We start from the raw sequence: 27,461 nt of genomic DNA on the forward strand, positions 1-27,461 counted from the left end.
TACAGCCGATTACAAGGAGAGCTTTAATACGATTGGAAACATTGAAGAGATTGCATATAATGCTGTTTCCTTTACCTGGGACGTGAATGAAGAGGCGAAGGTGAGTGACATTGATTCATTGTTTATACCTCTTAATATGTGCCCATCCTCAGCAGTTTATTCTTTTTTAAAAGCCTGTATCAGTAGCCTCCTATTAAAAAGAAATGAACCTTTCATCTTTTGCCTTTGTGGAGGGTAAGGGAGAAAAGGGAGTGTGCTCCTCTGTGGCTTCCTGTAGAATGTAATGAGCCAAGCTGCGTGTCCCACCCAAATCCTTCAGGCCCCAAGCTTCATTTTAGCACTTGGAGCTGGGAAGATGGGGCCTGAAAACCTTTTCCCTCTGCAGTGCAGATTCCCCCAAAGGCGTCTCTGTGCAGCCTCCTCTAGACACAGAGAGAGGAGCTCAGAGCTGATGTCTTCGTAGGTAAGCTACTGGGTAGACCCCTGACCCCATAGCCCCTTCCAGGCTTAAGCTGGTTGAAGGATGGAATACAGGAAGCAGGCTGCAGGTCCCTGAGCTCTACTGATGGAGGTGTGGTCACCACTGTGACCTTCAGCCACTTGTTTAATGTTGGCTGCTTAACTAACCTTTTTCTGTTTTTTGGAGTGCCCACATGGTTAAGAAGTACAAAGGTAAAATCTGTGGCGAAGTGAGCCCTGAGAAGAGACGTCCACCATTGCAACGGTTTGGATAAAAGAAGGCAGAGTCATTGATACCTAGATTTGCTTTCCAGCCACGAGTCTCTTTGATTTTATGAAAACCCCAAACCGTTCTGCTATGCCCACTCTCCTTTCTGTGTTCCTTAGCTTCTGATCCTTGATTCTTATTTTGCACTCATGGGAAGGTGCCAGATGAAACCTAAGCTTGTTTTTTGCTTTGGTTCTGGACCATCTAGGAGGGTGTTAGAAGAGTTTGTCTTCAAACTAATGAAAAGGTCAATGTACACTGCTCTGGTCGATGCTTTATTGTCTGCGAGCAGGGGGAAGGCTGGGTGAGAAAGGAAACGGGTTGGGAGTTTGCAGGCACGGCCACAGAAGAAGAATTGCCCAGTGTCTCATTTCACTCAAGTATAAAACAATGTAGAACAGGCCTGAGAAAGGCGGCCCAAATGGGCAAGTGGTGATAGAGTGCCCGTACAGCCTGGAGAAGTTTCCGTGGCTCAGTGCCTCCCAGAAAGGAAGCAGGCCTTGCCATGGGGTGTGAGGTTGGTCCCACACAGAACTGTAGGCAAATGTGTCTCTAAGGTCCACTCCTCCTTCATTTAAAGTTTCCTGCCCAAGCCATGTGCTTTCGGCACTTTGTTAACCTCCTCGGCTACCCGAGCCCCGTTCTCCCTGCCCCTGCCCTCTCCTGAGAACATCGTGCTCCTGTGCTTAGGGCTGTCTGCACCTTTCCCACATCCCTGCCTAGTGCCTCCTTATTCCAGCCAATTCCTTTCTCATCGTTCCCTGTTCTCTCAGAGGCTAGATTGCTGAACCTGATCGGTAAGAGGCAGTCTGTGTGACGGCACAGGACTAGGATGGCCACTGAGTCATCCTGAGCAAGTTATCTGACCTCTCTGGGCCTCGGTTCTGGCATGCAGACAAACACACAGATTTCCAAATGTCTCTGCTGCAGCCAGCATCATGCTGAGGGCATAAAGCATGATGATCCAATGCTCTGGGGAGGGAGGCCTGGAACCAGTAACTGAGCAACAGTGTGACCAGGGAGAGGCAGGGCCTATGTCAGAGTCCTTGGGAAGAAAATGGGATCGTGTAACTGGAAGTGTCTTATCAATGTTAAAGGACCAGGCATGGTGGCCGATGCCTGTAACCCCAGCACTTTGAGAGGCCAAGGTGGGAGGATCCTTGAGGCCAGAAGTTCAAAAGTAACCTGGGTAAAGTAGGGAGACCCCATGTCTACAAAATAAAAAATAAACATTAGCTGGGCAGGGTGGCATGCATCTGAAGTCCTAGCTACTCAAGAGGCAGAGGTGGGAGGATTGCTCAAGCCCAGGAGGCAGAGGCTGCAATGAGCCATGATCATGCCACTGTACTCTAGCCTGGGTAACAGTATGAGACTGTCTTAAACACACACACACACACACACACACACACACCCCACCACCACCACCACCACCACCACCAACAACAACAACAAAACAAATGTTAAGGCAAGCTATAACTATGAGCTGTAATCATTACCATAATTTTAATTATCATGCAATCTGTGATAATGAGTGCTAGTGGGTGAATGCTTTAACTGTTCTGCTTCAATAGGGACCTTTTATAGAAAATGCCTAACCTGGAAGGTACAGTTTAATGATGGAAGCTTCAGACTCTGCAGTAAACCAATGAGATAGTTAATGTGGAGTTGAGTTGATCTTCCAGCCCAGTTCATTCCATACCACTCATTCACCATAAGCAGGAGCTTACTTTCCTTGTCTAAATGTGTGTGCCTGTGCTTGTGGGTGTACATGTGAGTGTGCATGTGTATGAACATGCATGTTGCTCAGAGCAGTCAAGTTTAAGCTCACATACGCTTTGAAAAATGGCAGTGGAGGATATTTTATATTGCATTGTTTTATATTGCAAAATTTTTTTAACTTCATTAATAATATTTTAAGTGATTATTACTTGGTCGCAGCAATTGTTTGAGGTTTGGGTTAATCAATAAGTAATGAAAAAAGTTCCAAATATTTTTCTCCAGACTACTGAAGAGCATTTAATGTTTTATTTTACTTTAAGTTCCTGGATACAAGTGCAGAACGTGTAGGTTTGTTGCATAGGTATATGTGTGCCATGATGGTTTGCTGCCCCTATCAACCCATCATCTAGGTTTTCAACAAAGCAAGAAGTAAAAGCCTTGCATGCATTAGGTATTTGTCCTAAGGCTCTCCCTCCCCTAGGCCCCCACCCCTCGACAGGCCCTGGTGCGTAATGTTCCTCCTCTGTGTCCATGTGTTCTCATTGTTCAGCTCCCACTTATGAGTGAGAACATGAGGTGTTTGGTTTCCTGTTCCTGTGTTAGTTACTGAAGAGCTTTTAAAGAGAAATCATAAAAGTTAAATCTACTTCATTAGAAAGGCTGAGAGGATTTTTTTTGTCTGCGGAGCCTAAGGCATTTCTCTAAAATATCATTGATTTTATAATAAGCAGACTACAAAAGGCAAAATTGCATGATTGTTGACAGAAAGGTTTTCAACAAAGCAAGAAGTAAAAGGCATCCCTCTCACAGTGGAAGTGTTTGTGATGTTCATGTTGTGGACTTATCTATCAGGAGCAGTTGCATTTGCATTCAAATTCCCGTTGGTAACGTCTGCACAGAAACTTTCACAGGCTTCAGGGCAGCAGGCCCTTTCAGTATCACATGATATTTTGGTTTGTGTGGCCAGAGGACACAAACCTGTGGCCTACAGCCTTTTGATGGTCCACAGAATGCATATATGTATGTGTGTATTATGCATTTTTGTACTTCTGTTTAGAATTTTAACTTTTTTTTGCCCACATTAGATAATCAGAAGATTATTATTTTTAAAAATCCAGGTTTTTAAGTCTCTTGGATAATTAAAGATTCTGGCAACCATTAGGCCTGAGTGTTTGCAAGGCTCTAATGAGGTACTGGGCTCTTTCTTTATTGCTTTCTCTAGCATTCTGCATTCTGGAACTTTCCCTACCTAGCTTTGGCGAACATTTGAGTTTTCATGCCCAACTATGTCCCCCAGGCAACTGATATGCAGTTTAGCTCTTCACTGCCTTTCAGCATTCAGGAGGGTAGGCTGAAGCTGTAGGTAGGTTCAGTCTTTCTGCCCCGGAGCTCAGAGGAATGGGGCGAGTAAGGCCACCAGCATTCCCTGGCTCCCTGGCTCCTTTGGCCTGGTCCTCATGGGGCTGCAGTGGCAGCAGGCCAGACACTGATTTGTGTCCCCACTGTTGAAAACAGAATGTGTGACATTCTTCTGAATGCTCACAATAGTGGTAAATCTTGATCTTTCAAGATGTTTAAAAAAAAAACACCAGAAACCACCTTGATCCAAATGTGAATACATATCAACAAGCTGGATAATACCACTTGAGGATTAAGAATGAGGTTTTTTTTGCACCAAGTTTTATATATCATCTTTGAAGCTGGCCATATCAGAGGAGACCTTCTAAATATGCTTTAAAGCCATGGCAGCATCATTGGAGAAACCTGTATGTCTTCCCAAGATGATTATGTTAAAGGATAGCTTTTATTTGGATATTTAAGTTTTGATGCATTTATTTAAAAAACAAAAAACAAAAAACCAATCCGGTATTTGGTATTCTTGCCACAGATCTGTAATCAAGACCTGATAATAAGGTTTATGGATTTCTCCAAAGCATACATTTTCTTTCATTGCTGACTTACATTTTATTTCTACCTCTCATTTAGCATGAACAGAAAAAAAGGAAAGACATGAAACTCTAATCATTTAATTTAATTAAATTATAGGAAAACGTTTGGCCAGGGAAGGTGTTAAAGCTATTAGTTAAAATGAGGTTTGGGGATTAATTCCAGATTTGCAGTGTCCATTGCAGGCGGATTCTGGCAGAACTATTGCAGAGTTCTTCAACCCAAAACCCGTTTTGCTGGTTGTGAGACAGAGTCTTTCTGCACAATGACACATGCAGCAGGAATAGTCTCCAACAGGATCAGCTTTTGCCCTCAGGGTCTCTGCAGGCTGGAAGCCTGTGTAATGTGAACAGGCGTCCCTGGGCTTCTGATATCTAGGAGGACAAGGTTCTGAGTGTCCACACTGTCACTGCTTGGAAATTGATGGCGGGCAGGGCCCAGTGTGTGGCAGCAGAAAGAGCACTGAAATGGAGTTCAGACCTGAACTCCAGATTCTAGCTAGATTCTAGGCCAGATTCTAGCCCTGGCACTCGGGTAGCCAGCTTTTTACTTCCCCTGTTGAGTTTTTTTTTTGCAAAAAAAAAAAAAAAAGCCATAAAACAATGGGAAGTGTGTTTGTGTGTATGTGTGTGCATATGTGTATGTGTGTGTGTAGATTAAGATCCCATCCATATGATCCCAATGGGAGGACTTCTGTGTCATATTCTTTCACATGACTCCCATTTACAAGAATTTTTTAATTTTCTTTCTCTCCTTACCCAAACACCGATACCTAAGAAGTAGATTTGTTGGTCACTAATCCCTAAGATGAGGAATTCCCACGCAAGACCCTAGTGAGTTATTAAAGGGCTGTGAGCTCAGATTCCTGGCACCGAGCACTGCCTTTCTCTAAGTGATGACATCACCCCCAGAGCAGAGTGCAGCAAACCCTAATTACAGGCTTCCTTTCCTCCTAGATTTCTAAGGAGAGTCTTGAAACTGGGCCCCTTATTTTTGTCCAGGGCTGTTTTCTCTGTTCGCAGTGATTTTAAGATTAAACCAATCTTGGTGTGCTACAACGACCTCTGTCATGTGACCACAGAGAAGAATTACTTGAGCATTAAAGATGCTGCTTAGTGCTTTGTGCTGACTTTCAGGAACACTTTTCCTTTTTGGATCTTTTCACTGGAACACCGTAACAATTTGTCCATGTCTCTATGCTTCACCCTTCCTTGGTTTATTATACATAAGATTAAAAAAAGCCTTCTTTCCATGAAGCTTTTTTTAAATTGCTCTGCCTCCAAGCCTTTTAGAATGACCTTAGTTCAGGATTCAGTGAAAATGTTCACTACCATCACACTAATCATGCTGACAGATAAGTCTACTACTGGCCATCTCCGATCTTTATGATTTTTAGAAAAGTCTATTATAATTCAATAATATGAAACTCTGATCTCCCAGGGTTGTTCTTTGCTGCATTCTAGCCCAGTGCCTCTGCTTTCAGAAGCAGACTGATTACTTTCCTGAGTGATGTCTATCCTGCTCCTCCTTCCCGCTGTGTGTTGAGTTGCAGGAGAGGACTTAGGGGTATTGGTTTGTCTAGCCTTCTGCTTTGCCAGAGCATCAGCAAATGTTCTTCCTGCATTTTGGGATTAGGGAGGACCTTCCAGACAGGAAGTTGTTGCAGTTTTAGAAAGGGCCAAGGACACAAGTAAGGCATCTGTTTTTATCTCTGTTAACAAATTTTCCTAATGAGATTGGAGGTGGGCAGGGCTGAGACCCAATGGAGGTGGGGAAGGGAGCAAAGAGCCTAAGAGACATCATGGATAATCTTCTTGGGCCTTTTAGATTCTGATTCCACTAAATATTACCTCTCAACATATCAGGCCCTGCAAGATTGGGCAAATGGAAAAAGTTAATTTAGAACCCAGGGCCCTATGAGTCCAGAGCCCATGCTGTTGACTCTCCCAATAGAGAGAAATCTGATTTTTGTTTTAAGCCAAAGCAAGCTATGATTTTCCTTCTTTAAGCAATCTATAGGGTACAACCTGTTTGTATCCAGAAAGAAAGAAAATGAATGGCTGACTCCATTTCCTTGAGCAAAGCCGTTCAATCAGGCCACCCTGCTTTTGCCACCTGCCCTGTCCTCACGCCACACTTTCTCCTTCCCCACAAAGATGGGCCTGCTGGTGCAGCACTTCCAGCACATAGGGCTCTCTCTATCCACGTCTTCTGTTGCCCTGGTACATCACCTGTCCATATCGTGCATATCATTGACCGGAACTGATGTGGGAGTGAAAACTCCTTGCACTCTTCAACGGAGCATTTGCATGCTGATTAGCCTAACACTAGTGAGCTCCTCTGCATAATTCTTACCTCGCTCCAAAGATCAGTGCATGCTTTCAATTACAGTGCTGAGACATATCAGTGTTTTCTTCTCCATGCCTTTACACATCTATTCTTCATTTCCCCCATCTCTCTCTAGCTCCTTTCCCTGGCATCCTGAATTTCATTTTTATTCATTTACATGATCTCTGCACACCTTTCTTTAGTATATTTTTTCTGTTATGAATAGTGGAGGCAATTCCTTGTTCTTTTTTTGAAAAACCATGCAAGAAGCACAGCACTGAGAAATTTCCAAAGCAAGAATGAGGATTATGATCAGAGAAGATGAAGCTTGCAGGAGGCATACAGTGACCCTCCGCTCTACATGTGCAACTTAAGAAATTCAACAAACAAATCCTCACATTTACCAGGGTGGTAATTGGAAGTGACTACTTACACATAAGCCAATGTTCCTTTTATAGAGAGATTCCTCTAATCTTGGGTCTCTTTGGAATGCTTCAAATGCATTGGATTTACAAAAGAGATGTGCATGTAATTTTTGAAACTGTGGGAAAATGCAAAGTGAGGAGACATGTTGATATTTCCTCTGGGCCCTATTTGCATTAATAGTTTTGCCCCATTGCCTTCCTGTTGGATTTTGCTTTAATACTGACAAGGAGGTATCATCTAAGAACTGAGAGCCAGTCTCAGGGAGGTAAACAGGGATGTGCTAAGATGAGTTGGCTGGTGAGAAGAAACTAAAAGTGCAAGTTGAAAGTAAAATGTTCTCATCTATATTTGTAAATCCACTTTAAAGGGAGAAAATGAAGTTGATTTAATGTCCCAGCACTGCCTGACAGCTGCCCTGGACTTAAGAGTGCATTTGATGTGGCCTGGGTCATGGTGACTGCAGTGACTGGCTTCATGTTGTGAGATGTGACTAGAGCCATCATATAGGCTGACTTACTATTTCTATAGAAAACCCAGCTCTCTTCCTTCTCTCACTTCCTCCACTCACCTCCTCTCTCAGTGTTGTCTTTTCAAGGTGAGCAAGCCAAGCCTAGCTTTCTGCTCCAGCAGCTGCTACTAGAGAGGAAAAATAACTCTATGTCCTCATTATCTCAATTTTAGTAGCTTAAAAGATAAGATGGTGAGAACTGCAGGGCTTTGGCCATAGCTTATGAAAAAGGAGTAAATTGGAGAAAACATAGGTGTTCTCACTTCTCATACGCTGCAAATTATTCAGTCTCTTTGGGTGAAAAATGTTATGCTAATTGAAAGGCTGGCTTGTATTCGGTACCAAATCATGGCAAATCCATCAACTTGTCTCAAATGTGTTCTTTTTTCTCCTTTCCCCCTTCCCTCTATCTCTCTTCCGGTTCTTTTTGGTCTAAACTGCTTAACCAGTTTTTATTGAGCCTCCATTGTGTGCCAAGCACAGTTCTTTTGAAAATTAAAGTTTTGATAGTCTTAACGGATCATGCTTTCCAAAGGGCTGTTCCTAAATGGATGGCGTTCTTAATCTGCTGACCTCCACTGCTGGATACCAAAGGAGAAGGGAAGATGTGTAAACACTGTTTTTCAGGATGCAAATGGAAACCAAAGGACTGTCTGAAGGAGACTACACTCCTGAGTGCCCTGTGGGTTCATGACCTTGCTTATTCCACAGCCTGCACCCCTCAGCGGCCCAGTGCTTTTGTCTGGGGAGTTCTCTTTCTGCTTACAAGACAGTCTAGGATGATATGGGGTTGATAGATATTCATGATTAAGAAAAAGTTATACTCCAATTTTTTGCCTAAATTAATGTATTGGCTGATTTTAAACAGGCGATCTTGTGGAAAATTACAGAATATTACAGAACATATCTCATGGTCTGAAAAGTAAAAATAGGGCTGGGGGGCACTCCTGGGAGGGGTCTTGAAAGATTGAATTGCACACTGCAAAGCAGGGCAAATGGCATTTTTTTATGTGTTTGCTGAGGTGTGGTGTGAGTAAAGGAAGCCTTAAAGGAGAAAAGTAAACATTTGCTGGAGTCTTTGGTATTGAACTTAAACAAAGCCATGCCTTTGTTCCAGTTTTATAAGGTAATGGATGTTAGGAAAAGCTATAAAGCTGGAGTTAATTCATATATAAAAGGAATAATCTTTGGAAGGCATCTCACCAAAGGTATCAATGGCTAGATCTTTGTTAGAATGTGAAGTATCCATGGTTTCTGGACTGAATTTTGCTTAGGACTCTGTAATTAACATGTACAAACTATTGTATTGTGCAGAGAATTAGATTGCATACTTGGATTTCATAAAATGATTGTGTGTGCGTGTGTACACAATGACTAATATTTGTTCAGTGATTACCATATACCAGGCACTCTGCCAGGCAATCTATATGCATTATGCAATATTCATATTTTTAAGTAAATAGCAGTTTCCATTTAACTAATGAGGAATTTGAAGCCCAGAAAAGTTAACTAGCTTACCTGAGGTTGCACAGCTGGCGCCTGGTAGAGCTGGAATTCTAACCTTAGGCTGTCTGGTTCTGAAGCATGTGCTCTTTCCATGGCACCTTTTTGTTTTGGAAAGACCTAGTAGTAATATCTCCTTTATTATCTCTGACAAGGGAATAACCATTCCTGTGAAGCTGCGCACCCACTGCATATCAGGCACTGGGCCAGGCGGTGGAGGGTCCTGAACAAACAAGCCAGGCAGAATCCCTGCGCTCAGAGAATGTTTGGACTAGGCTAGCAACTGAGACACAGATGTAAATAATTGTAATACAAGGTAGGTAAGTGACAGTGGGTCTATGGGAGATAAAGTGCTAGAAGAGGTCTGAAGAGAGAGGCAGCTCCATTTTTTATTTTTCTACATTTTATTTTTTAAAATTTCAAGTGAAAAGTTGAAAGACTAATACATTTGATACCACTTACCCTTTACCTAGATTGACTCATTGTTAATATTTTGCCAGATTTGCTTTGTCTCTGCTCACTCTCTCACACACACACACACACACACACACACACACACACACACACACCTACACCTCATTTCTAAGTACTTCAGCATGTAGAGAGGTCCTCTTTCTGTGGGATCAGGAAGACACAAGGAAGGACGTGGCATGTAGGGTGTGTCTTCAGGGTCAGGTGGACTTAGACATAAGGAAGTTGGAAGAAGAGTGTATGGTAGGGAACAAGGGGGTGTCCAAAGGTGCAGAACCTGGAAAGCACAAGGAGAGAGGGCACTGTGCCACTCAGGAGAGTGTGACACTCAGGAGAGAAGTTAGTGTTAATTGTAAAGAGGGGATGATTGAAGTCATGAGAAAGGACGAGATTGCTGGGGAGAGAATTGGAGGGTGGGCAAAACAGGGTGAAGTATAGGACTTATACATTCTCCATTTAGAAAATGTAGAGGGAGGGGAGCTGGAGAAGGAAGGGGTGGTGAGTAAGAGCAGAGAAGAAGAACAGGGAAGGAAGGAAGGGGAAGGAGAACGAAGAGGACAAGGAGAGGGCCACCAAAGTCCAATGGTTTAGGCAGTGGTTGCTCAAACTGTGGTCCTCAACAAGCAGCATCAGTGCTGACTTCGTAGATTGTTAGAAACACAAATACTTGTCTCCCAACCCAGGTCCACTGAATTAGAAACTCTGGGGGTGAGGCCCTTTAACCTGTGTTTCAGCCAGGCCTCCTGGCGATTCTGATGCACGCTAAATTAGGAAACGCCTGATATAAAGATGCTGCTAAGAAGGCTGCCCTTGATTTAAAGAAAGCAATTTCAGAAGTAAATTTATACACGCACATGTGAACAAAAGCCACGTAGAAAGACATTCATTGCAGCATTATTTATGACAGGAAAACACTGGAAACAACCTAATGTTGAAGAAATTGTCATTCCATATTTCATACTTTTTTAAAGGGAGAGAGAAAGCGATCTTCGGACTTTATTGTTAAGTGAAAAAAAGCAAGATGCAGACCTGTGTGCATTTTATGCTACCATTTGTGTAAAATAGGAAATGAGGTGTATTTGTATTTGCATAACATGTTTCTAGAAGGATACTCAAGAAATTGTTGGTTGGCTGGGAAACAAGGAAGGGAGGTCATTTTCACAGTTTACCCTTCTGTGCCTTTTGGATTTTGCACCATATTCAGGTGTTAAAAACTCAAAACAAGTTTTAAGTATTAAACATGAACAGAAAAAGCTTCACATAACAAATGCCGAAAAAGTCGAGTGAATGAATCTTTCAGTCTGTACTTAAATTCTTCTTCTGCCTGGGAGCTCGTTATTTCACCAAGCAGCCCAATCTCTCATTATGCACATCCCTCATCCTGATGTGCTGCTTCGCAAGATCTGCTCGAGTGACAGAGCAGAGCAGGAGAAACTGTTGTAGTTTGAAGAGCAGTGAAGGTTTCTGCCTGAGAGACTTCCCCATGCTCTCCCCAGCAATACCTGGGATTCAACCCCTCCCAAAGTGCTGTGGGGAGAGAGATTTAATGTTTTCAAATCAATTCTCCTTAATTAAATGTTTGTTCCATTAATGCAAATCATAACTAATCTACCTTTGGATCATTTGAAGTTAGCTTCACAAAATCCCCAGGGAGAGAATCCAGCTGGAAGGTAGCAATAGAAGGAGGAAGTAGTAATCCTACAGGAAGGAGGGCTTGAACTGGGGGACCCTGGGAATGCTAAGGAGGCCACCCAGGCAGGAGCATTAGGGAGGTAAAATGGAGAGGGCTTTGTTGATTCTGTCATGGGGGTGAGAGCTTGGAGTTCAAGAACAGGACCAGCTGAGAGACTAGGTGTCTGAAAGGAGAGAGATAATGTTGACGATAGTAAAATTCTTTCGATTTTCATGACACTCTACCGTTTAAAAGTATTATTTCATATAAGTGTCACAGTACCAACGTAGGGGCTGTTATACCTATTTAAAAGAAGAAAGTGAGTCCCAGAAAGGTTAGACAATGAGTCCAAGGCTGTAGTGCTAGGGTTTGCACCAGGCACACCATTTTGAGCCTCTTGGCAGATGTTTTTTTCTGTCTTTGCTTTACTCTCGTTATAATCGAACCCAGGTTTGACTTCTCACCACTTGAAAGCCAGACTCAAGAGACAAGGGTTGGTGGAAGGAAAAGCAAGTTTATTCAGAAAGCCAACATAACCGAGAAGATGGTGAACTAATGTTCTAAGGTACCATCTTAAGTCAGTACAAACTTTAGGCTCTTTCGATATTAAGGGCAGAAGGATAAGAAGAGGATTGAGATCAAGAGGTAACCAGCGACTGCAGACATCTGGACAGCAGTGAGTGTCCGAGGAGGCTGGGAACTTCCTTGTCCTTGGTCAGGTCACAATGCTCCTAAAAATCTTTAACAAAACATAGTTAGTTGTTTACATACTTCCCCATTCATCCCGGGATTAGTTTTAAAAGCTACATGACTGCTGTTTTCACATATTATGTCAGTGCTCTGAAGTCGTCCTTGCCTATGTGCACGAATGGGTAAAGACTCCTTAAACAAAAATGGAGTTAGTTATGTTAGTTCTTTTGCTTTCTTATGTTACATCTTCTCACCCACCACCTTCAGAGAAAGCTCTTTCTTCCTCTCACAAAACTTCACTTGTGAGTTGATCTCCTTTATCCCCTGATTCTGAGGCTCTTGACTCCCACAGCCACTCCTCTCTGGAGCCTCTTACATACCTCATCTCTTGTCATGTGGACACCTCCTTCATCTCAGAAGTGCCCCGCTGCTTGGACAGCTGCCCACTCCCAGTACTCCCATCCCTCCCTTAGCTGAGGTGCTTCTTCTCCATCTCCTTGACCTGTCTCACTTGCCCAGCAATCACCTTCCTCTCCTCCCTTCCATTGGTCTGGCCTCTGGAAGTAGCATGGATGCTCTCTACTACTGAACACAATGGCCTTTTCTCAGTCCTCATGCCCCTGTCCTCTCTATAGCTTGGATGTCGGAGGCTGTGGCCACAGCTCTATCTGCCTTGGCCTCAGAGATGCACACTTGGCCTCATTCAGTGCTTATTACTGGATCACAGTGATAAAAGCAGATTGATTTGCCTTTTTCCTCACCACTCCCTGCCTTTCAGGTTCTTTCTTCACCTTCCAGATATAAACCCTCCTTTTCCATTAGGGTGATCTCTCCATTTTTTCAGAGGCAGCATGCGCTTTCTTTCTCTTCCATCTCTCTTTCTCCTGTCTCAAGACTCCTACAGGAAATCTTCCCTGGCTGCATTGTTGAGCTCTCTTCTTCTTCTTTCTCTTTTTTGAGATGGAGTCTCGCTCGCTCTGTCACCTAGGCTGGATGGAGTGCAATGGCGGGATCTCAGCTCACTAAAACCTCTGCCTCCCAGGTTCAAGCAATTCTCCTGCCTCAGCCTCCCCAGTAGCTGGGATTACAGGCATGTACCACCATGCCCGGCTTATTTTTGTATTTTTAATAGAGATGTGGTTTCACCATGTTGGCCAGGTTAGTCTCGAACTCCTGACCTCAGGTGATCCACCTGCCTCGGCCTCCCAAAGTGCTGGGATTATAGGCGTGAGCCACCATGCCTGGCCTTCTCTCTTACTTCTTAAAGCAAGCAGAGTCTGGAGTATTCAATTTAATATCTAATTACGTACCTTCTACAACAGTGAATACTGTTGGACCCCCACCATTTCCTTGAGGGCAGGGCCCTGCCATAGATAGACTTCTGTATTTCCCATGGCCTCTATATATAGCATCTTCAGAGTGTGGATGGATGGATGGATTAGATAGATAGATAGATAGATAGATAGATAGATAGATAGATACATACATACATACATACATACATACATACATAGATATTGATGAAGATATTCATGCTGAATATATAGTTGATGCTCAATTTATGATTGTTGATTGATAGATAACATCCAGTCAGAGCAGTTAACTCCACTATATTAAATTGACTTCAGCTACTCATATTAATCTCTGCTCTTAGGAGGTATTGTTTATGAAAGCAAGAGCATAGATAAAGTTGTATTTAGAAAAATAATTTATCTTCTCTTAAGTAGTTGGACAAATATTTGTTGACTGTCTACCATGGGCCTAGTACTGGGAATAGAGTGAGCTTGAGGAAGGCAAGTACCCTCCTCTTAAGGGCTTTTCAGAATCATGGAGCAAACAGACAATTAAACACTAAACAAATAAATAATAAGATAAATTCAAATAATTGTATGGGCGATGAAGAGAGGAGAAAAGAGAAATTTGACAGACTGTGCCACTGGTCAGGGGCCAAGGGTTTGAGAGGAGGAGGAAGAGGAGGTAAAAGGCAGCTCTCCATGGGATGGTCAAGGCAGGTATTTCCGAAGAGTTGACATTGGACTGAATCTGAATGAGAAGGAGCTGGCAGTGTGGTGATCTGCAGGGACAGCACAGAAGGCAGAGCACACAGCAGGCAGCGAAGCCTCTGAAAGGAGAACAAACAAAAAGTGAGCACTGGAAGAATATGGGGAACTACAGTAGAGTATGTGAGTCCACCAAGCATGCATCTGCGTGTATACATACATAACCGCAGAATTGAGAGGAAAACATAAATATTTTATCAGGAAGAAAGGAAGAAATGAAATAAAAAAATTTGAAGAGTACTTTCTAAAAGTGCTATATAATTGTACGTTTTATGAAATCTAGGCATTTCTTATGTCCTCAACAAAACATCAAGATCCCTGGGGGCGGGTAGTCTGTCTTGCATCCCGTATTCCCATCTCCCAGCACAATGCCAAGCACAGAGAGAAGATATTAAATCACTATTTGATGAATACATGCATAAAAAAATAGATGGTTACCCAAAGCTGAGATTTCACATTTTAATATTGTCTACTTTTAGTCTATCTTCCGTCTCAATTTGGCATTGCATCTGCACACAAATACAATCCTATCAAAGTGGAAGAAGAAAGGTAAAATGTGAGAAAGCTGTCTGTAGAAGTTCTAAAACCGAGAAAGGAACAGAGTGGAGAAACTGGCAAGAGCACATTTATATAGTTATATATTGTTTGTGAAAGGAAAATGTGTTCTAGTGTTAAAATGATTATTTCTTATGTATACCTTGTACCTGTAATTTAGAGGCTTCTCCTGTGCAATTTCTTGGAAAAGAATTTTTTTTTCAGTCTCGATTATCAGGATATAAGTAGCTTTCTTAGTCTTTAAAAAGAAACATCTTAAAAGTGCAAAATACAGTTGCTTAAAGAGGAAAATAAATACATTGTACCAAATCACAGACGTTACAATTTTTTGAATCCCAAATTGCTTTCTGAATCAAAGGTAGGCCCATTTATTTTAATGGAAAGCTCTCAGAAAAAGCTTTAGGAGTTAATAATCAAGTTAATGTAGCAATTCTAAAGCTCATTGATTTGTGCTTATTTTAATAAATCTTACTGTATGCATAATGTACAACTGAGGGGTATTATAATTTCAGCAAAGTCACTTGTCTTGGGTAGAAACCACAAAATGGGAATTGTAATTCATATGTAACAAATGATTTTGTAAAAAAATGCCAATGTTATGAGACTGCTTCTATTTCTGGGAAAGATCTTGGTACATTTAGAAACAATCTTTATCTGAATCAATCTTTGAACTGATGACAAAATTAAAATTGTATTTATTATCTGCCTAAATACACCTGATCTAATGAATTCTTTCTTAAAAAATAAATTGTGTGCTATTAGCATTATAGGAAAACAAGTAAGAGAGGTTTTAAAAATATTATATGAGCATTTGTAACTTTCTTAACGCTTGGGAGACAGATAGATTGTTCACGGCATTTATACATCCTTTACATAATCAAGGCTTCCACCGAAGTGAAAAATAACTTTCTGTGCTTGACATTTGGATGAACATTTGGTAGAGGAAATTATACCTTTTCCTTAAGCCCCTCTAATACATATTTACAAACAAGTGCTTTGTAGATACACTTCCAAGTAATTTGCTTTCACATTTGCCTGCTGTGCATGGAGCTGAGACATGGTTGGGTTTGCAAGATGAAACAAATGAATGCTTATCACTTTCCAAGCTAAGGCTTTAGTTAATGTCTTTCCATGATTTCCCAAACTCCTGCCCACCCCCAATTTCAGTTAAAGTTCAACCATTTGGGTTTTGAGTGCAGCACAGCGAGACTATGATTGATACCATCAAGGTACTGAAACTGTGCTTTGCCAGTGGGTCAGGCAGCTAGGCAAGAGGAAACAATGCCAACCCTATTATAAATTCCTTCCCTTATAGGTTCACTGGGAGCTGACAACACAATGTAGCAGAAAAGGCAGATTCTTGTGTTGTTTACTTTTAATGGAATTAGAGAGCCCATTAGAGCTTCTACTAAGGACCTCTCTCTATTGAGAGAACCTAGCCTAAGTGTCTCCCGGTGAAGTCTGATGTGTGGTAGCTCATTTGACCTTTAAAGACCATCTCTACTGGGTGGTTGGTTTTTATAACTCCTCCAGGGAAAATTTAGACTATGTATTATAGCATATTGCCAGTAAGCAGTTATTTCAGTGGATCTGGTGGGTCTGTCCCACTTAAATGGCCCTTGTAAATATTCACAATCCATCACGTCGGCTCTTAGTTGAGACTTGAGCTGATAAGGCCACATTTAATATTGCTTCCTGCCTGTCTGAGTGTATGTATGTCCACTGTGATTGACATGTGGTTAAATCACTGAGCCAACCATGAATCTCAATAGCTTAGGAAATATTCATCAGAACACTTTTCTCCTCTGGCTCCTGTAGTTCTAGGCAGGCTTTATGAGGGAGTGGAAAATAACCAGTCTGCGTTAAGACTCCTGTGATTATGGCCACCAGCAGGAAGATCTCTATGAAGCACATGGCCAAAACGATGAACAACTGCATAGCTCACCAGAGTGATCATTTGCTTTGCTGACATACAACTGCATTTTATACACTCTGGCCAAGATGTTTTTCAGGTGTTCCCTGAAAATTATACTTTTTTTTTAACCTAAAGTTTAGTGTTTGATGAAGCTGTTGTTATCTTTAGAGCACCATCGTATATTCTCTCTCAATCTTCCCTCTGACTTCTGTGATTGCAGGAACCATAACCAGTGCATCTATGCTAGTGCCTAGCACAGCTTCAGGAACTTGGTAGGCGCTTCAAAAATATTTGTTGCATAAATGACTGTTAAATAAAAATTCTCTGCCATTAGGGCTTCTCCAGGGACAGCAGACAGCATTTTCTGTCTCTGTGATTGTAGTGGGCAAAATACTTACACCATGGAAAATCAGTAGGAGAATCGGACATAGCATTTTTTCTTTCTTTCTTTCTATCTTTTCTTTCTTTCTTTCTCTTTCTCCCCTCCCCTCCCCTCCTCCTCCCTCCCTCCCTTTCTCTTTCTTTCTTCTTTCTTTCTTTCTTCCTCTTTCTTTCTTTTTCTTTCTTTCTTTCTCTCTCTCTTCTTCCTTCCTTTCTCTCTCTCTCTCTTTCTTTTTGACAGAGTTTCACTCTTGTTGCCCAGGCTGGAGTGCAATGGCATGATCTCGGCTCACTGCAAACTCCACCTCCCAGGTTCAAGAGATTCTCCTGCTTCAGCCTCCTGAGTAGCTGGGATTACAGGTGCCCACCACCATACCCAGCTAATTTTTGTATTTTTAGTAGAGATGGGGTTTCACCATGTTGGCCGGGCTGGTCTCGAACTCCTGACCTCTGGTGATCCACCCGCCTAAGCCTCTCAAAATGCTGGGATTACAGGTGTGAGCCACCACGCCCAGCCTGTGTGTTCTTTCTCAGTAGTCTTTGTCACTCAGTTCCTGTGAATCACCTGACATTTGCATCTTTAGTCATTCTCTTTTTCTTTACTGTTCCTCAGTCCTTGTCAGACCCCTGCTCTAAGCCCAGTGAATGTGTGGGTTTGTATTTCACTAGTGTTCTCCATGCCCAGGGCTCTGTTTTGTCTTCCTGGGGCCTCTGTGCACACCTGCCTCTCTGTACACACAACACAGAGGACCACCCTGTGTTGGTCACTGCTGGATCACTCGTCCATCTCCCTCTTGGACTGTCAGCTCCATGAAGCAGGGGTTTGAGTTTCTTTTCTATCCCCTATATCTAATGTTGTGTTTGACCCATTGTGGGCTTGTGTGGATGTTTACAGACTGAATGAATGAATACATGAATTAAAGAAATGAATGAAGGAAATGAATGTATTGGCAGTTAGATCATCTTTTTTTAAAAGCAACTTTTAATGGTATATATTTAAGACACACATCATGATGTTATGGAATACATGTAGATACTTTATCCATCATCTCACATCCAATGTCTCACACAATTACCCATTTCTTTTTGTTTTTGGTAAAAGCAGCTAAAATCTACTCATTTAGCATTGATTCCATATACAGTACCTTTTTTTTCTTTTTCCCCTGACTTCCCATCTACAGTACAATTTCATTACTGATGGTCCTCGTGTTGTACCTTAGTTTGCTAGATGTGTTGGCATAATTAGATCGTTGTTGGGCACTTGTTTTCAGGCAGTGGCTGGCAGCGTGAGAGCCCAGGGGTTAGGGCATAGGGTTTCTGTAATCAGCCTGTCACTAAGCCCTGTCATCTGGCCTGATTGGTGTGGATGTGGTACCCCACTAAGACATTCCTCAGTGCCAGTTGAGGAGCTCAAAAATAAAATAAAAATGAGGTTTATAGAGATGTAGCACTACAAATGAGATGCCTGGATTGCCAAAAGCCTACAGGCTTTGGGTTTGAAATGAACTAGATCAGGTCTAGTAGTTAAATCAAAAATTCAAAAGGCTTTTATTTTATTTATTTATTTTGAGATAGGATCTCTCTCTGTCACCCAGGTTGGGAGTGTAGTGGCGCAGTCTCAGCTCACTGCAGCTTCAACCTCCTGGGCTCAAGCAATCCTCCCATCTCAGCCTCCCAAGTAGCTGGGACTACAGGGATGCACCACCACACTCGGCTAATTTTTAAACTTTTTGTAGAGATGGGATCTCACTATGTTGCCCAGGCTGATCTCAAACTCCTAAGCTCAGGTGATCCCTCTGCCTCAGCCTTCCAAAGTGCTGGGATTACAGGCATGAGCCACCACGCCCGGCTGAAAAGCCTTTAACATGCAGTCCGTTTCTCATGGTTTTGCTTCCTTGAGGGCTGCTCTCCATAGTGTCGCTGTGGTGTGAGGGACTTCAGGTCCAAGGCTTAAAGGTGAATGGAAAACCCAGGGAATCAAATAAGATAAGCATTAAATAGTACATCTAATGAAATAGTTTTCAGAATACATAATTTTACAATTTTAAAGCAATGAATAGTTTAACATTTTATTTTAAATAAAAAGAATACATGTGGCATCAAATGAAAATAGTACCAAGAGTATAATATAGTGTGCCTGGATCTCCCCAGAAACCACCTCTTAATCATCAGTGTAGTTACCATGTAAACCTGGGTGCTACACTGATACCTCAATTCCGTGATAAATCACTCTTAAATGGTATCAATGGACTGCCATCCACTATTTAAAATGAGGAGAAATTTAGCTCATTTACACTCCTCCCTCTCTTCTTACCAATATTTTATAATAAAATAATTATTTTTAGTTCTTTTGTTGGTCAGCACTGTAATCTTAGTAATTTCCTGGAGTTTCCATTTTTTTGAATTCATGTGATTTCTCTTATATCTCTTGATGCGCTGTGCTGTAAGGTGAGGATGTTGATGCCTTCACTAATTCACTATATTTTCTCTCCTGTTTCAGATCTTACATTTAACAATCTTTTACTTTTTCACTAACCTGGAAGTATATTTGTATCTACATTTTGTCCTGCAGGGAGGGATCCTAAAGGGAAAATTGAAATCTGAAATTAAGTGACTTGTGTAAGGTTTCTTAGCTGGTTAATGTTACAGCTGGAGCTAAAACCTGGGGCATTTGACTCCCAATCTCGTAGGCTTTCTGCAGATAAACTCAGTGATTCGCTCATCTAATGTTTATTGAGTGCTTATTTTCCTCCAGGCACTAGGTACCAGTAATACAAAAATAATAAGTGGTCTCAAATTGCATGCTTCATAATCATGGAACAAAGACAGATATGTAAACAAATAACTAGTTTCAATGCAATAATGTGCAAAGGAAGGTGTTATCTGATTTTTTTTTTTATTCCACAGGCCAGAGATTAGAATAACTGGTATAACTATTAGAAGTGGCAACTTTGATATGTTGAGGAAACAGTGTTTTACCCAGGCCACTTATGCAGGTTTAAAAAATAAGTAAGACTTGGCCAGGCACGGTGGCTCACGCCTGTCATCCCAGCACTTTAGGAGGCTGAGGCAGGCGGATCACGAGGTCAGGAGACTGAGACCATCCTGGCTAACACAGTGAAACCCTGTCTCTACTAAAAATACAAAAAATTAGCCAGACGTGGTGGCAGGCTCCTGTAGTCCCAGCTACTCGGGAGGCTTAGGCAGGAGAATGGCGTGAACCTGGGAGGGGGAGGTTGCAGTGAGCTGAGATCACGCCACTGCACTCCAGCCTGGGCGACAGAGTGAGGCTCTGTCTCAAAAAAATAAAATAAAATAAAATAAGACTTTGCTGATATACTTCCAGGAAAGCAGTTTAAATGGTCTGTTTCAAGATTAAATATGAAAGCAGATTTTAAAAATAATGTATAATTATAAATTATATGTTTTATGCTCAGCATGTTTTTATGTGAAAAGAATATCAAAATATTCTTCAGTTGTCTTTATGGGGTTGTTTAGTATTTTGACTTAAAGTCTAAAGTTTATGCGTTTATTGTACATTCTTTTTATGTTGACTTGTGAACTTTTTCTTTCTCTTTCCCTCAGATTTTCATCACCGTGAATTGCTTGAGCACAGATTTCTCCTCCCAAAAAGGGGTGAAAGGACTTCCTTTGATGATTCAGATTGACACATACAGTTATAACAATCGTAGCAATAAACCCATTCATAGAGCTTATTGCCAGATCAAGGTCTTCTGTGACAAAGTGAGTAAAGATGACAGTTTTTTATAAAGGTATCTTTTTTATTAGATATTACTTTTAATGGCATTTCTTCCTTGTCACCTTTGCTTGTCTAGTGGTGTCAAAATATTCACTTTACTCATCACAGTGGGAGTGGTAATCTTCTATTCTCAGTTCCTGTTAGATATCTAGGAAGTCTTCAGTCAACTATTTTTTTTTTTTTTTTTTAGTTTATCATTTTTATCACTAATTTAATGACTGACTGTTTCTTAGTCAGCTCAGGCTGCTATAACAAAAAACCATAGACTGGATGGCTTAAACAACTGAAATGTATTCCTCAAAGTTCTAGAGGCTGGAAAGTCCAAGGTCAAGGTGTCAGCTAATTTGGATCTTAGTGAGGGCTCGCTTTCTGGCTTGCAGACAGCTGCCTTCTCACTGTGTCCTCACATGGCATAGAGAGAGAGCACGTGCACAAGCTCTCTGGTGTCTCTTTTTCTAAGGACACAAATTCTATCATAAAGACTCTACCCTCATGACCTCATCTAAACCCAATTACCTCCCCAAAATTTCATCTACAAATACCATCACATTGGGAATTGGGAGTCCAACATATGAATTTTGGGGGTACACAAACTTTAGTCCGTAATACATTGTGCTATAAGTTTGATCCAATTAGATAGCTCAAATAACAGATTAATATTCTTTACTGGGCATAGACCCTGTCCCAGAGCATATCAGGGCATCCGTTATTATTTTGTGGGTTAAATGGGACCTCATCTAGGACTTTTTGGAATGGAAATAGCACTTATAAAATAAGTTCATTAGTACATATGCACTTAGTAAACATGTACTTTGAATCTCCCTGAATCCCACCCCAAAAGAGTTGAAAAATGTGAACAGCAAAACTTAAAACCCTATGATTAGGTGACAGAAGATCCTCACAAATCCCAAATATGAATGGGACCAAGCATCAACAATTTCAAAACCTGTGTGATATCAGCATTTGTGAGGGAAAGTAATGGGGCCACCTGATAGCCAAAGAACAGGAAACCTACAAAGTTTTCCAAAGTACTCACTGGAAAGTGAAGTGGGCTGTCTCAGGAGAGCATGTGAGACTCGGGTGGGAGGGTACAGATCTAGTGGATTCTAATTTGCCAGTGAGTGCAAGAGGACTGAGCATTGAAATGTTTTAGGCTCTATGAATTCTGAGAAGTCAGAAACTAAAGTTCCCTTCTAAGACAAAATCCTGCTTTGGAGAAAAAAAAAAATTATCGGAGTAAAGTCTAAGCTGAGTTGAAAAAAAAAGGTGAAAAGGAAAGAGGTCAAAATAAAAATGAAGAGGAAGATGGGACGGGATACAGAGTAGGCAGATCTCAGAAAATCTGACTATATTTGTATCACTCTGTGAACACACCAGATGGGCATCCTGGGAGCCATGAAGCTAGAAGAAATCCTGGCTCACTCATTTCACTTGAAAATGACCAACAGAAAAGAAAAAGCAGTTGAATCCCATACAATGTTTCATGAAAAAAGAGATTAAGATCAGACTGACTTCCCCATGAATAATGAATGCCTATCAAAAAGGCCCACAAAACAGGTGAAAACTGTAGCCTAACATTTCAAAATAAGCTAAATGAAATTAAGGAAATAATGGAAGTTATGAAGATCAATGTAAATCACAATTTGAAAAAATCAACTTGAGATGTGTAGAAAATAGAATGACTTGAAAAGAGATGAGATGGAACTCAAGGAATTTAGAAATAAAAGATTAAAATAGATTAGAATTAAAAACTATGCTAGAAGCAACACAAGAGTAAATAAATATAAAAGATAATGCTCTAAGAAAACAAGCTGGAAAACAATAAAATTTTTAAAATCAGAGAAAATGAAAGAGGTGTGAGAGAAAATACAGATACAGAAGAAAGATAAAGATGTAATATAGGCCAGGTGCGTGGCTCACACCTGTAATTCCAGCACTTTGGGAGGCCAAGGTGGAAGGATCACATGAGTCCAGGAGTTCGAGACCAGCTTAGGCAACAAAGCGAGACCCCTGTCTCTACAAAAAAATGTAAAAATTAGCCAGGTTCAGTGATGCATGTCTGTAGTTCTAGGTACTCAGGAGGCTGAAGCAGGAGGATTTCTTGAGTCCAGGAGTTTGAGGTTACGGTGACCTATGCTCCAGCCTGGGTGACACAGCAAGACCCTATCTAAAAAAAATAAAATCCAATATACATATAATAGGAATCTTTGAGGAAAAAAAAGTAGGGGGATGGAATACTAAAAATACATTGCTTTAAATATGCATTTAAATACATATGCTCTAAGGAAAACTTTAAACAGAAAGCATATGTATTTAAACAGCCCACCACCCACTTGGGAAAATTGATCCAGTATAACCAATACAAAATAGTTAAGCTATTGGACTTTTTGAAAAAAGAAAATAATATTCTTTGGGCATCTAAGTAAATAAAATAAATATTAAATCACTTATAAGGAAAATTTGATTATCAAACTTTTCAACAGCAACACCTTGTCAGAAGACAATGATATTTAAGGTAATCAAGTAAAGAAAATGTGAGCCAAGGATTTTATATGTAGCCAAATTGACTTTGAAGTATAAAGACTGCAGGCAGAAACAAAATAAACAAACCCCCAAAATCCAGAGAATATTTCTTCTCGGGGACTCTAGTAGTCAACAAACTTTAGACAAGCAATATTACTGTAAAGACATTGATAAAACGATGGGTGGTGAGCATTCAGGATCTATTTACCTGTAGATCTAATTCTAAATGATGGTGGAGACAGTGTGACAGTATATTCTGACAAGGTATAGACATCGTACAATTATTTTAAAATTGGGAAGGATAGGAGGGGTATATGAGAAATAAGTTGACTAACTGCTTACAGAGATTAACTGTAAGTGAAAGGATAGTACTTCATATTAGATGCTGGGAAGAGAGAGGAACAGGGAGCAGATATTAGTAGCCAGTTCACTATTGCCCAACACTCTTTTTTAAAATTATTTTTCCGTAAGTTATTGGGATACAGGTAGTATTTGGTTACATGAGTAAGCTCTTTAGTGGTGATTTGTGAGATTTTGGTGTGCCCATCACCCGAGCAGTACACACTGCATGATATTTGTAGTCTTTTATCCCTCAACCCCCTCCCACTTTTCCCCAGAAGTCCCCAAAGTCCATTGTATCATTCTTATGCCTTTGGGTCATCATAGCTTACCTCCCACATATCAGTGAGAACATATGATGTTTGATTTTCCATTCCTGAGTTACATCACTTAGAGTAATAGTCTCCAATCTTATCCAGGTCACTGCAAATGCTGTTAATTCAGCCCATCACTCTTAAAGGTGCTGCAGTCAGTTGTATTAAAGGTGTATGTACTGTTAACATGTCCGAGAGTTCTGGTTTAGCAGTGGCAGGAGAAAGCAGAGATGGTAAGGAAAACAGAAAGAAAACGCATTAACAAGAACTGCACAGGGGTTAGGGACATGTGGCATAGCAGTAAATATCCCTAAAGTCTCAACGGCCTTTCAGGCCATGATGATTTCAGTTAATGCCAATCTTCCAGCCATCACAGCAGCACAGCAATCAATAGGACAGTTTCCATGACACTGGTAGGACAGTAGGACAGTACACAGTAGAACAGTTTAGGACAGTTCAGAGTACACAGTAGGACAGTTCACAGTAAGACAGTTCACGGTACCCAGTAGGACAGTACACAGTAGAACAGTTCACAGTGCACAGTAGGACAGTACACAGTAGGGCAGTTTACAGTACACAGTAGGACAGTTCACAGTAAGACAGTTCACAGTACACAGTAGGACAGTACACAATAGGACAGTTCACAGTAAGACAGTTCACGGTACCCAGTAGGACAGTACACAGTAGAACAGTTCACAGTGCACAGTAGGATAGTACACAGTAGGGCAGTTTACAGTACACAGTAGGACAGTTCACAGTAAGACAGTTCACAGTACACAGTAGGACAGTTTACAGTACACAGTAGGACAGAACACAGTAGGACAGTTTACAGTACACAGTAAAACAGTTCACAGTACACAGTATGACAGTACACAGTAGAACAGTTCACAGTACACAGTATGACAGTACACAGTAGGACAGTTTACAGTACACAGTAGGACAGTACACAGTAGGACAGTTTACAATACACAGTAGGACAGTACACAGTAGGACAGTTCACAGTACACAGTACACAGTAGGACAGTACACAGTAGAACAGGTCACAGTACACAGTAGGACAGTACGCAGTAGGACAGTACACAGTACACAGGACAGTTCACAGTAGGACAGTACACAGTAGGACAGTACACAGTAGGACAGTTCACAGTACACAGTACACAGTACACAGTAGAACAGTTCACAGTACACAGTAGGACAGTACACAGTAGGACAGTTTACAGTACACAGTAGGACAGTACACAGTAGGACAGTTCACAGTAGGACAGTGCACAGTAGGACAGTTCACAGTACACAGTACACAGTAGGACAGTACACAGTAGAACAGTTCACAGTATACAGTAGGACAGTACGCAGTAGGACAGTACACAGTACACAGTAGGACAGTACATAGTAGGACAGTTTCCATGACACAGCAATCAGTAGGACAGTTTCCATGACACTGGTAGGACAGTAGGACAGTACACAGTAGAACAGTGTAGGGCAGTTCAGAGTACACAGTAGGACAGTTCACAGTAAGACAGTTCACATTACACAGTAGGACAGTACACAGTAGGACAGTTTACAGTACACAGTAGGACAGTACACAGTAGAACAGTGTAGGACAGTTCAGAGTACACAGTAGGACAGTTCACAGTAAGACAGTTCAGAGTACACAGTAGGACAGTACACAGTAGGACAGTACACAGTAGAACAGTTCACAGTACACAGTAGGACAGTACACAGGACAGTTTACAGTACACAGTAGGACAGTACACAGTAGGACAGTTCACAGTAGGACAGTACATAGTAGGACAGTTTCCATGACACAGCAATTAGTAGGACAGTTTCCAAGACAGTAGAGAAGTTTCCATGACAGTTTCCAGAGGCCTGTTAACTCAATAGACACAGTTGAATAGAAATGGTGAAATATTGAAGGTACAGACAGCATAAGCAATTTGCCCAGAGACACACAGTGGGAATGCAGAGTAGTTAGATGGAAATCTAGGCCTGATTTCAAACTCATTCTCCTGGAATTGATAAATAACTTTATACATAAAATACCGAAATGACAACTGGCCATTCAAAACCTCAACAAAGAGCCAAGGTAGGCTTTAGAAACAAAACCGAACCAAAAAAATCAGCTTATGTCTTTAATTCAGCATATTAAATATTAAGAAAACATTTTCAAATGATGTATAACAGATAATTTTTTAAAGCACAAATAAGGAAGCATTTAAATAATTTGAATTCCCTTACTTTATTTCAGATATTCCAGGGGAGATTGTAGAATCCCCCTCCATGAATCCCCTTCTTGGAAATAAAGAATAAAGTTAGAGATGAAGAGAAAGAGGGGGAAGAATTGAATAGAGGAACCTGGCAATCCATTCATATTCACTTTGGTAGTTGGAAATGAAAGTGAGAGACAGGGATTAAGGATTCTCCTAAAATTATTTTACGTTATAGTGTTAATATAATAAATAATAAGAAAAACAAAGAATAAAAGCATGCAGAATATACAGAGGATGTTATATTGTTGTTCACCCATGTCCTAGAATGAGAGGGACTTTAAGACACTAAGAGGGCAGAGACAATTATTGATTGATTATACCTTTTGTTTGAAAATATTTTTATACATTTTCATTCAGTTATTTTAAATTATAAAAGGGAGAGGGCGAAAAAGAGGATTATATGGATTTTTCCAAAGCAGTTGTTTCCTGAAGTCATGTTAAGAGGGTAATCTGTGGCAAGGAGATAAATGGTTGGGAGAACCACTTATTTGTGTGAACATGTTTGTAAATATGCATAAAAACTGGGAAGGACTATGTCAACAAATACCTTGCCAATCAGAAAGTAGGTGGCATTTCCAATAGCTCCTATTTTACGTATCGGTCAGTAAATATCAGTGCTAAGTAAAAGAAAATGGTTGGAGAATGTTGGGTAAATGATAAGCATTTATTCCAAGTGAGTAGTGATGTCAAGAGGTTCTAGCAGGTAGTTACACATCCTGATATTAAGGGTTGGAGTCGGGGATGTCAGGAAAATCATAAGGAAGAAATCTCACGAGTCCTGCAGGGTGTATTCATCGTAATTACTGTCAATTTCTTTAACAAAGTAGACCTGAAATCTTTTGCTGTAATTTGTCATCATTTTTGAAGCTCTAATTTCAAAATCCAGGTAAAACTAATTCCTGGGAGATTAAAAAGAGATATTAAAGTTTAATTTTTATACTTTTCAAATGGGTGTGTAAATACAAATGCCCACTTTGACTTATCCTGTCAGGCAAAAGAGTTGAGGGCTATTCCATTTTAAAACCATACATTTTCTCATCACAGTCTATAGTTTTCAAGAGATGGAATTCTGCACTATTTACAGTTCTCCAGCTTGATTTCTAATTAATCAATCAATTAATCAATTCTAATTAATCTCACACCTGTGAGACTGCAGCTGAAAATAAAGGGCTTCCCTAATCATTCTTGGTATTAAGATACTTCTATTGAAATGCATGTGTTAATACATTTTAAAAATTCAGGATCTGTTTATATAGCTACATACATAGATACCTATGTGTGTATCTTTATGCTAACATTAAATTCTTTCACAATCTTTCGTGAAGGTTTTGTATTACTGCAAACAATAGCTACATA

At 40.8% G+C, this 27,461-nt stretch overlaps 1 protein-coding gene across 4 annotated transcripts in view; it reads left to right on the forward strand.

Moving 5' to 3' along the window:
• GRHL2 (grainyhead like transcription factor 2) overlaps positions 1-27,461 on the forward strand; it is a 188,762-nt gene that overhangs the window by 106,613 nt on the left and 54,688 nt on the right. For all 4 annotated transcript variants that reach the window (NM_001440447.1, NM_001330593.2, NM_024915.4 and 1 more), the window contains exons 8-9: positions 6-100; positions 20,488-20,646. In NM_001440447.1, the coding sequence (NP_001427376.1) occupies positions 6-100; positions 20,488-20,646 (254 nt within the window). The remainder of the gene's footprint in view (positions 1-5; positions 101-20,487; positions 20,647-27,461) is intronic.

This window comes from Homo sapiens, chromosome 8 (assembly GCF_000001405.40).
Source record: "Homo sapiens chromosome 8, GRCh38.p14 Primary Assembly".
In the NCBI taxonomy this organism is placed as follows: Eukaryota; Metazoa; Chordata; class Mammalia; order Primates; family Hominidae; genus Homo; species Homo sapiens.